We start from the raw sequence: 10,750 nt of genomic DNA, 5'->3' as shown, positions 1-10,750 counted from the left end.
CCGCCCTTTTTTTTTTTTTTTTTTTTTTTGAGATGGAGTCTTACTCTGTTGTCCAGGCAGGAGTGCAGTGGTGCCATCTCAGCTCACTGCAACCTCTGCCTCCCAGGTTCAAGCGATCCTCCTGCCTCAGCTTCCCAGGTAGCTGGGATCACAGGCGCCCACCACCACACCCCACTAATTTTTGTATTTTTAGTAGAGAGGGAGTTTTGCCACGTTGACCAGGCTGGTCTCAAACTCCTGACCTAGGTGATCCGCCCACCTCGGCCTCCCAAAGTGCTGGGATTACAGGTGTGAGCCACTGTATATCTGGCCAAATTCTTTTCATTGAAAATGGCTTTAGCCGAGCATGGTGTCTCATGCCTGTAATCCCAGCAACTTTGGGAGGCTGAGGTGGGAGGATTGCCTGGGGCCAGTTCAAGACCACTGCCTGAGCAACACAGAGAGACCCACCACCACCCCCAATCTCTACAAAAAATACAAAAATTAGCTGGGCATGGTGGCGAGCTCCTGTAGTCTCAGCTACCCAGGAGGCTTAGGAGGGAGGATCAATTGAGCTTGAGAAATTGAGACTGCAGATCACGCCACTGCACTCCAGCCTGGGCAGCAGAGTAAGACCCTGTCTCAAAAATTAAAAAAAAAAAAAAAAAGGGGGGGGGCGGAGCCGGGTGCAGTGGCTCACACCTGTAATGCCAGCACTTTGGGAGGCCAGGGTGGGTGGATCATGAGGTCAGGAGCTCAAGACCAGCCTGGCCAAAATGGTGAAACCCTGTCTCTACTAAAAATACAAAAATTAGCCGGGTGCGGTGGCGGGTGCCTGTAATCCCAGCTACTGGGGAGGCTGAGGCAGGAGAATGGTGTGAACCCGGGAGGTGGAGCTTGCAGTGAGCCGAGATTGCGCCACTGCACTCCAGCCTGGGCAACAGAGCGAGACTCTGTCTCAAAAAAAAAAAAAGGAAAAAGGAAAAAGGCCAGATGCGGTGAGCCATCGTGTCCCGCCTAGGGATTCTTTAGTTGGCAATTGGTTGAAGGAGTTCAGCTTTGGTAGAGCGCCATGGCTCACTGCCGTAATCCCAGCACTTTGGGAGGCCCAGGCAGGTGGATCATTTCAGGTCAGGAGTTCGAGACCAGCCTGACCAAAATGGTGAAACCCCATCTCTCTGAAACATACAAAAATTAGCCGGGTGTGGTGGCATGCACCTGTAATCTCAGCTACGCGGGAGGCTCAGGTGGGAGAATCACTTGAATCCCAGAGGCGGAGGTTGTAGTGAGCTGAGATCATGCCACTGCACTCCAGCTTGGGCAACAGAGGGAGACTCCTTCTCAAAAAAAAAAAAAAAAAAAAAAAAATAGAGTTAAGCTTTGTCTAAGGACTCGAAGTCAGTACAAAGGAATGCTTACATTATAAGGGTGGGGCATCTGCTTTTTATCATGTGGTGCTATACCTGATTCAGGCTGGAAAGTAAGCCACACGATACAGGGTTAATTTAAAAACTCATTTAAAAAGATGTTATGGTTTGTAGGGTGTGGCTTAATTCTTGCCTTGCATGGCCTTTGGTCTTGTTTATTATTTGGTATTCTATTGCTACAGAGAGTCTGTTCTGCCATTCTTATAATTTCTCTTTTAACATTAATGGTGGTCAGTTGTGCCTAAACTCCAAAAGAGGGAGTATAAGGAGGCATGTCCGACCTCCCTTTCCACCCAGGAGAATTCAGAATTCAGTTTAACATCCCCTTGGCCAAGGGGTGAGGGTTCATTCAGTTGGCTGTGGGGCATGGGATTTTATTTTTAGTTTACATAATAAATGGAAAGAAAACTAAAAAGTCTTCTGGAAAAATTGTGTCCCTCTCCCTCTCTTTCCAGTTTAAGAACTAATACTACAAACATTAGTCCTGGAATGTTCCATTTCTCTTTTTTTATTTTATTTATTTATTTTTTAGACGGAGTCGCTCTGTCGCCAGGCTGGAGTGCAGTGGCGCGATCTCAGCTCACTGCAACCTCAGCCTCCCAGGTTCAAGCGATTCTCCTGCCTTAGTGCCCCGAGTAGCTGGGACTACCCGCACGCGCTACCACGCCCAGCTAACTTTTTTTTTTTGTATTAGTAGAGAGACAGGGTTTCACCATGTTGGCCAGGATGGTCTCGATCTCTTGACCTTGTGATCCGCCCGCCTCGGCCTCCCAAAGTGCTGGGATTACAGCCGTGAGCCACGACGCCCGGCCGGAACGTTCCACTTCTCTTATAAATAGTTGACTAAGGTTTCCCAATAGTAAATTAACCTGCTACCACTAGTAAGTAGCCAGACTAGGGTCAGGAGAGCAGAAAACCTCATTCCAGGGTTTTCCAACACAGTGGCCTCACCATGAACACATTGCACTCGGGAGCTATCTTCAATCATGAACGATGAGCATTTAGATTTATTCCGTGATTCCAAGGACCAGAACTAAGATATACAGGAAGCTCTTTTTTATCTCATTTTAAGAGAAAACGTTCAAGTGTAGTTCAAAGTGTACTTAAGGGAGAAAAAGTTAACTTGTCATAAACATACATGTGATAGAGGTGAATACTCAGGTGGGCAAGAACCTCCAAACAAACTCCAAATTCGCAGCTGACATCTGCTAATAATGTAGAAAATCTCGGGCGATTTTTTTTTTAATTTTCATTTTTTGTAAGGACAGGGTCTCGCTATGTCGCTCAGGCTGGTCTCGAACTCCTAGCCTCAAGAGATCCTCCGCCTCAGCCTCCCAAAGTGCTGGGATTACAAGCGTGAGCCACCACGTCCAGCAACTCAAGTCATTTTTGCATCAATTACCAGCAAAAGTCTATTCAGAAATAGGACTCTCTCAGGCCAGAAGGGAGTCAAGACGAGCCTTGGAGGTGAGCGCCCAGTAAGATAGGCCAGAAGCACTCCAACTCCAAGGCAGAGCCTGAGCTTTACAGCCGCTAGGTCGGCGTATGTTCTACCACCGCATTCCCCCAGTGTCTCAGCGGTCTCTGAAGGAGAGAACTAAAACTCCCATAAGACAACGCGAGCTCAGGTGGGCGGCCACTTGCCGCGCGTGGGCGGCTCTGACCAATAACGATTGTCGTTACAGCGAACAGTTTGGCCCCGTTTGTAAAAGGCCGCGGCAGGCGAAGAGAGAAGAGGTGAGGGCGGTCGTCAGCTAAGGGCCCCGGGGCTCGCGGGGGGTGCGCAGGGCAGGTAAGGGGGTAGTGCTGAGCAAGGACCGGGGCGGCGGTGGGGCAGGGGTGTAGAGCTCGGGTTCCCAGCGGAAAGCATGTCCAAGGAGCGGCTGCCGGCGAGGTGATGCTTCTGCCTGGGCCTACTTGGGACCGGAAGTGAGCGCTCGCGCGGGGAGGATGCCGGGAAGCAGGTCCCAGGGGATATGTGTGTGTCGCTGCAGACCCATCCCGGAAGCCGGCCGGGAGGTGAGCGTCCCGGAGTCGGGCGGCCGCTCCGTTGACTGCAGGGCCCCGGCGGTCTTCCTCCGCTGTTCCGAGGCCGTTGAGGGCTGATGTGCTCCATCCTCCCACTTGTGGTTTGGCAAGCCATCCAGCCGACTACAAACCCACGTTTGTGAGTTACCTGCTGGCTGTGACGCTTCCGTCAAATCTGAGTAACAGTTTCCTCATCTCTAAGATGGGTAACATAGTATCTACCTCACAGGATCGTGTGGGCAGTACATGCATAGAAAGGATTTAACACGCAGTGTACTCAGCTAGTTTTATTATTTATCCGTAATGATCATTTGTTCTTTTCCCCTAACTGTGCCTCACAAGCATGAAACAGAATCCACCAAACATTTAGGTCTGGGTAGTGGTTGGATGGAAACCCATCGCGGGTTAACGCTTCCAACACCAGTCCCTTGACACTCTCCCGCCGAGGAGGCTGATTTGTAAACTTGCTGAGAAGAGAATACCCAGCAGATCTTTCAGGTTTCAAATCCACGTTCTTTACAAGTTGTGTTAATTGTTTGTATATGCTTTCGATATAGAGTCTCTAGGAAGTAATACTAGTACATGTTTTAAAATTCAAATACTGCCAAACAGTGAGATGTAAGTCTCCCTCCTAACTTCTGTTTCCCAAATCCCATGTCGTTTCTTCTGATGCAATAGACATTGTATGTGTGTGTGTCTAGATAGATACATATGTGTATCTCTCGTCTTTTTTTTTTTCTTTTAAAAGAGTAAAACCAAGAATAGCATATTACAAAGTGCTGCACTTTTTTCACTCCACAGTGTATCTTTTTTTTTTTTTAAGAGACAGGGTCTCACTATGTTGCCCAGGCTGGTCTTGAACTCCTGAGCTCAGTGATCCTCCCGCCTCAGCCTCCCAAAGTGCTGGGATTACAGGCGTGAGCCACCACGTCCAGCTACTCAGGCCATTTTTTTTTTTTTTTTTTTGAGACGGAGTCTCGCTGTCGCCCAGGCTGGAGTGCAGTGGCACGATCTCGGCTCACTGCAGGCTCCACCCCCCAGGGTTCACGCCATTCTCCTGCCTCAGCCTCCCTAGTAGCTGGGACTACAGGCGCCCGCCACCTCGCCCAGCTAATTTTTTGTATTTTTAGTAGAGACAGGGTTTCACTGTGTTAGCCAGGATGGTCTCGATCTCCTGACCTTGTGATCTGCCCGCCTCGGCCTCCCAAAGTGCTGGGATTACAGGCGTGAGCCACCGCGCCCGGCCCATTTTTTTTTTTTTTTTTTTTTTTTTTTGAGATGGAGTTTCTCTCTTGTTCCCCAGGCTGGAGTGCAATGGCACGATCTTGGCTCACCGCAACCTCTGGCTCCCGGGTTCAAGCGATCCTCCTGCCTCAGCCTCCGGAGTAGCTGGGATTACAGGCATACGTCACCACGCCCGGCTAATTTTGTATTTTTAGTAGAGATAGGGTTTCTCCATGTTGTTCAGGCTGGTCAGGAACTCCCGACCTCAGGTGATCCGCCTGCCTCGCCTCCCAAAGTGCTGGGATTACAGGTGTGAGCCACCGTGCCCGGCCATGCCATTTTTTTTTAAACAGCTGTAAAAATATTTTATTTTCTGGGAAGTATTCCATTTTGTAGGCATACCATAATTAATTACACCAGTATCTTCTTGAGGGACATCAGGTTGTTTCTTATATTTTGCTGCTACAAATATTCTTCATTGAGTTGCCTTATAATTTCCCTCATTTCACACATGTGGGAGTCAGTCTGTAAAATAAATTCTTAGTAGTGTAATTGCTGGGTCAGAATATCAAATCAAAATATACTGATTCCAAATATGCAAGGAAGATATCAAACAAGCTCAAATTGAGGGACATTTTGTAAAATATTCGACTCTTCAAAACTGTCAAGATTAGGAAAAAGAAAGACAAACTCACGGACTTGAGGGGACTAAGGAGACGTGATGACTCAATGCAATGTGGTATCTTGGATTTGATCCAGAAACAGAAAAAAGGGGCAAAGTCTAGAGTTCAGTTAATAATAATGTGGCAATGTTGGTCCCTTGGTTTTGACAAATGTCCCATGTTTATATATGATGTTAACATTGGGAAACTGGGTGAGTGGTGTTTGGGAACTGTGTTCTATCTGCCACTTTTCTGAAAATCTAAAATTAGTCTAAAAGATTTATTCTTTTTTAAAAGGGAGATTGAGGCCAGGCATAGCGGCTCACGCCTGTAATCCCAGTACTTTGGGAGGCCGAGACAGGCAGATCACTTGAGGTCAGGAGTTCGAGACCAGCCTGGCCAACATGGAGAAACCCCGTCTCAACTAAAAATACAGAAAAATTAGCCGGGCTTGGTGGTGGACGCCTGTAATCCCAGCTACTCAGGAGGCTGAGGCAGGAGAATTGCTTGAACCCGGGAGGCAGAGGTTGCAGTGAGCCAAGATCACGCCACTGCACTCCAGCCTGGGTGACAGAGCAAGACTCCGTCTCAAAAAAATAAATAAAATAAAAAGGGGCATTAGTGGACAACTGGTAAAATCTGAATAAAGCCTGTAGTAGAGTTAATAGTGTTGTACCAATGTTAAGACCTTATTTTTGACAAATGCCCCATAGTTATGTGAGATGTTAACATTTGGGGAGTCTGTGTGAAAGGTAGGTAGGAAGTCTCTGTACTGTCTTTAGCTTTCCTATAAAAGCCAAAATGCAGTCGGGTATGGTGGCTTATGCCTGTAATCCCAGAGCTTTGGGAGGCCGAGGTGGGTGGATCATCTGAGGTCAGGAGTTCGAGACCAGCCTGGCCAACATGGTGAAACCCCGTCTCTACTAAAAATACAAAAATTAGCTGGGCGTGGTGGCATGTGCCTGTAGTCTCAGTTAATCGGGAGGCTGAGGCAGGAGAATTGCTTGAACCCGGGAGGCGGAGGTTGCAGTGAGGTGAGATCACGCCACTGCACTCCAGCCTGGGTGACAAAGTGAGACTCCGTCTCAATTTAAAAAAAACTAAAATGTAATAAATGTGTTGAAATAAATTTTCTAAAATTATTGCAAAATTGAAAGCATTTTTAATAAAGAAATATGGATTTATAATGTTAAAGATACTCACAAATCGCCTGCTGGAGGGCATAATCAAAAAGTAAAAGAAAAGACTGGGCACAGTGGCTCATGCCTGTAATCCCAGCACTTGAGAGGCCGAGGCAGGCAGATCACTTGAGGTCGGGAATTTGAGACCAGCCTGGCCAACATGGTGAAACCCTGTCTCTACTAAAAATACAAAAAAGTTAGCTGGGCGTGGTAGCAGGTACCTGTAATCCCCGCTACTCAGGAGGCTGAGGCAGGAGAATCACTTGAACCCGGGAGGCGGAGGTTGCAGTGAGCTGAGATTGCGTCATTGCACTCCAGCCTGGGCAACAAGAGCGAAACTCCGTTGTCAACAACAACAACAAAAGTAAAAGAAAAGATAAAAGAGTGGAACTCCATTGTTGATGCTACAGCTATTCCTATGCTAAAGCTACAGCACCAACAGCTGGCAAACCACCTCCTCCCTTAATGACAGAAAGGTTTTTTTTTTGTTTTGTTTTGTTTTTTAATTATTATTATACTTTAAGTTTTAGGGTACATGTGCACAATGTGCAGGTTAGTTACATATGTATACATGTGCCATGCTGGTGTGCTGCACCCACTAACTCGTCATCTAGCCTTAGGTATATCTCCTAATGCTATCCCTCCCTCCTCCCCCCACCCCACAACTGTCCCCAGAGTGTGATGTTCCCCTTCCTGTGTCCATGTGTTCTCATTGTTCAATTCCCATCTATGAGTGAGAACATGCGGTGTTTGGTTTTTTGTCCTTGCGATAGTTTACTGAGAATGATGATTTCCAGTTTCATCCATGTCCCTACAAAGGACATGAACTCATCATTTTTTATGGCTGCATAGTATTCCATGGTGTATATGTGCCACATTTTCTTAATCCAGTCTATCATTGTTGGATATTTGGGTTGGTTCCAAGTCTTTGCTATTGTGAATAGTGCCGCAATAAACATACGTGTGCATGTGTCTTTATAGTAGCATGATTTATAGTCCTTTGGGTATATACCCAGTAATGGGATGGTCAAATGGTATTTCTAGTTCTAGATCCCTGAGGAATCGCCACACTGACTTCCACAATGGTTGAACTAGTTTATAGTCCCACCAACAGTGTAAAAGTCTTCCTATTTCTCCACATCCTCTCCAGCACATGTTGTTTCCTGACTTTTTAATGATATGACAGAAAGGTTTTTTTCCACTTTGATATGTTAAATCATCATTAGCAACATAATTTTTAAATTAATTTTTTCTAAGCTCTTTCATATATACAAATTGTATATATGTGTGTGTGTGTGTGTATATATACATATACGTATATATATGTCGTATCGTAGCTTTGCAGATGAAAAAATCCTGAAGCTCAGAAGTTAAAGGACTTGGTCACAGAGATCGTTCATGGTAAAAAGCAAACTGATCCTTCATGTTTTGACTTTGGAACAATATTCTAAGAATCCATGTGGGACTGAATGAGAATACCTACTAAAGAAGTTCATTGAGCTAGGAAGGAATGCTGTGTGAACAGGCTAATGACTCTACATCAGTGGCTTTTAACTGGGGCAGTTTTGCCTCCAGAGGACATTTGGCATTATCTGGAGACTTTTTTTTTTTTTTTTTTTTTACAATTAGGGATGGGGCCTGCTACCGGGATCTAGTGGGTAGAAACCAGGGATACTGTTAAACATTCTGCAATGCATAGGATAGCCCCCACAACAAAGAATTATCCAGTCCTAAATGTCAGCAGTGCCAAGGTGGAGAAACCCTGCTATGCATCTTATTTCACAAAGCACTTGTTTTCCTTAAAATATATATATATATGTGTGTGTGTATATATATATATGTGTGTATATATGTATGTGTGTGTGTGTTTGTGTGTGTGTGTATATATATATATTTTTTTTTGTGACAAAGTCTCACTCTGTTTCCCAGGCTGAAGTGCAGTGGTGCGATCTTGGCTCACTGCAACCTCTCTGCCTCCTGTGTTCAAGCAATTCTCATGCCTCAGCCTCCTGAGTAGCTGGGGTTATAGACATGTGCCATCATGCCTGCCTAATTTTTGTATTTTTAGTAGACACAGGTTTTCATCATGTTGGCTAGGCTGGTCTCGAACTCCTGGCCTCAAGTGACCCTCCCACCTCAGCCTCCCAAAGTGCTGGCAATTACAGGTGTGAGCCACTGTGCCTAGTCTTTTTAAAACTTTTTTTTTGACACGGAATTTCACTCTTGTCACCCATGCTGGAGTGCAATGGCGTGATCTCAGCTCACTGCAACCTCTGCCTCCCAGGTTCAAGTGATTCCCCTGCCTCAGCCTCCGGAGTAGCTGGGATTACAGACGTGCACCACCACGCCCAGATAATTTTTTTTGTTTGTATTATTAGTAGAGACAGGGTTTTACCATGTTGGCCAGGCTAGTCTTGAACTCCTGCCCTCAGGTGTTCCACCCGCCTCGGCCTCCCAAAGTGGTGGGATTACAGGCACGAGCCACTGCGCCCAGCCTAAAACATTTTTTTATTTTTATTTTTTTTGAGATGGAGTCTCACTCTGTCGCCCAGGCTGGAGTGCAGTGGCATGATCTCGGTTCACTGCAAGCTCTGTCTCCCGGGTTCACGCCATTCTCCTGCCTCAGCCTCCCAAGTAGCTGGGACTACAGGTGCCCGCCACCACGCCCGGCTAATTTTTTGTATTTTTAGTAGAGACAGGGTTTCACTGTGTTAGCCAGGATGGTCTTGATCTCCTGACCTTGTGATCCACCCACCTCGGCCTCCCAAAGTGCTGGGATTACAGGCATGAGCCACTGCGCCCGGCCTAAAACATTTTTTAAGAAGAATAGAGACCACTGGGCATGGTGGCTCACACCTGTAATCCCAGAACTTTGGGAGGCCGAGGCAGGAGGATTGCTTGAGCCCAGGAGTTCAAAGCCAGCCTGGGCAACATAGTGAGACCCCCATCTCTATAAAAAATTTATAATTAGCTGAGTGTAGTGGCACGTACCTGTGGTCTCAGCTATTTGAGAGTCTGAGGCAGGAGGATTGCTTGACCTTGGGAGGTCAAGGCTGCAGTGAGCCATGATCTGCACTCCATCTTTGACAACAGAGTGAGACTCTGTCTCAAAAAAAAAAAAAAAAAAAAAAAAAATAGGGCCAGGCACAGTGGTTCATGTCTGTAATCCCAGCACTTTGGGAGGCCAAGGCGGGCAGATCACTGGAGGTCAGGAGTTCAAAACCAGCCTGGCCAACATGGTGAAACCACATCTCTACTAAAAATACAAAAATTAGCCAGAGAATTGCTTGAGCCCGGGAGGCGGAGGTTGCAGTGAATCGAGATCACGTCACTGCACTCCATCCTGGGTGACAGAGCAAGACTGTCTCAAAACAATTTTTTTTTCTCTCTACATCTTCTATCCACTGATTAACAAATTGGAAAGTACAAATAAGAATAGTTTTAAAATGTCCACCTTTTCATTGGTGCTATGAACTAGTCCCCGACTGTAATTTTTACTGAGTAAATGAAGCTGTGTGGCTCACACTTATAATCCCAGCACTTTAAGAGGACAAGGCAGGAGGAGCGCTTGAGGCCAGGAGTTCGAGACCAGCCTGAGCAACAAAGTGAGACCCCTGTCTCTACCAAAAAATTTTTTAAAAATTAGCCAGGCATGGCAGCATGTACCTATAGTTTCAGCTACTTGGGAGGCTGAGGCAGGAAGATCACTTGAGCCCAGGAGGTTGAGTCTGCAGTAAGCTGTGATCACACCACTGCACTCCAGCCTGGGTAAGAGAGCAGAAAAATGCATAAAGCACTCAAAATGTGATGTATTACTATTAGGAAGGATGAGTTATTGACCAATTATATAACATAGCTCTAGGTGTGTTCTTTTTTTTTTTTTTTAAAGAGATGGGGTCGGCCGGGCGCATTGGCTCACGCCTGTAATCCCAGCACTTTGGGAGTCTGAGGTGGGCAGATCACGAGGTCAGGAGATCGAAACACAGTGAAACCCCGTCTCTACTAAAAATACAAAAAATTAGCCGGGCATGGTGGCATGTGCCCGTAGTCCCAGCTACTAAGGAGGCTGAGGCAGGAGAATCGCTTGAATCTGGGAAGTGGAGGTTGCAGTGAGCCGAGATTGCGCCACTGCACTCCAGCCTGGGTGAGCAGAGTGAGACTCCATCTCAAAGAAGAAAAAAAAAAAGAGATGGGGTCCTGCTCTGTCGCCAAGGCTGGGGTATAATGGCACAATTTGCAGCCTTGCTCT

General features: G+C 46.5%; 1 protein-coding gene across 15 annotated transcripts in view, besides 5 other annotated features; it reads left to right on the top strand.

Moving 5' to 3' along the window:
* Window positions 2,650-3,235: an enhancer, noted in NCBI's record as "H3K27ac hESC enhancer chr2:70418013-70418598 (GRCh37/hg19 assembly coordinates)". NCBI's record gives its function as "activates a minimal SCP1, AML or CMV promoter by ChIP-STARR-seq in primed H9 embryonic stem cells {active_cell/tissue: H9 hESC(primed)}" and the evidence as "EXISTENCE:reporter gene assay evidence [ECO:0000049][PMID:30033119]".
* Window positions 2,689-2,778: an enhancer, noted in NCBI's record as "active region_16006". NCBI's record gives its function as "activates an Ori minimal core promoter by ATAC-STARR-seq in GM12878 lymphoblastoid cells {active_cell/tissue: GM12878}" and the evidence as "EXISTENCE:reporter gene assay evidence [ECO:0000049][PMID:35858748]".
* Window positions 2,799-2,858: an enhancer, noted in NCBI's record as "active region_16005". NCBI's record gives its function as "activates an Ori minimal core promoter by ATAC-STARR-seq in GM12878 lymphoblastoid cells {active_cell/tissue: GM12878}" and the evidence as "EXISTENCE:reporter gene assay evidence [ECO:0000049][PMID:35858748]".
* C2orf42 (chromosome 2 open reading frame 42) overlaps window positions 3,097-10,750 on the top strand; it is a 41,135-nt gene continuing 33,481 nt past the window's right edge. For 3 of the 15 annotated variants that reach the window (NR_145969.2, NR_145968.2, NM_001348759.2), the window contains exon 1: window positions 3,097-3,198. The gene's annotated coding sequence lies outside the window, so the exon portion shown is untranslated. Of the gene's footprint in view, window positions 3,933-10,750 lie in introns of all 15 variants that reach the window. The other 12 variants (NR_145970.2, NM_001348762.2, NM_001348760.2 and 9 more) reach the window with 7 other exon arrangements.
* Window positions 3,449-3,498: an enhancer, noted in NCBI's record as "active region_16004". NCBI's record gives its function as "activates an Ori minimal core promoter by ATAC-STARR-seq in GM12878 lymphoblastoid cells {active_cell/tissue: GM12878}" and the evidence as "EXISTENCE:reporter gene assay evidence [ECO:0000049][PMID:35858748]".
* Window positions 3,589-3,698: an enhancer, noted in NCBI's record as "active region_16003". NCBI's record gives its function as "activates an Ori minimal core promoter by ATAC-STARR-seq in GM12878 lymphoblastoid cells {active_cell/tissue: GM12878}" and the evidence as "EXISTENCE:reporter gene assay evidence [ECO:0000049][PMID:35858748]".

This window comes from Homo sapiens, chromosome 2, assembly GCF_000001405.40.
Source record: "Homo sapiens chromosome 2, GRCh38.p14 Primary Assembly".
Classification (NCBI taxonomy): Eukaryota; Metazoa; Chordata; class Mammalia; order Primates; family Hominidae; genus Homo; species Homo sapiens.
The sequence above is the reverse complement of the archived record's forward strand: the minus strand, read 5'-3'. Positions and strand labels throughout refer to the sequence as shown.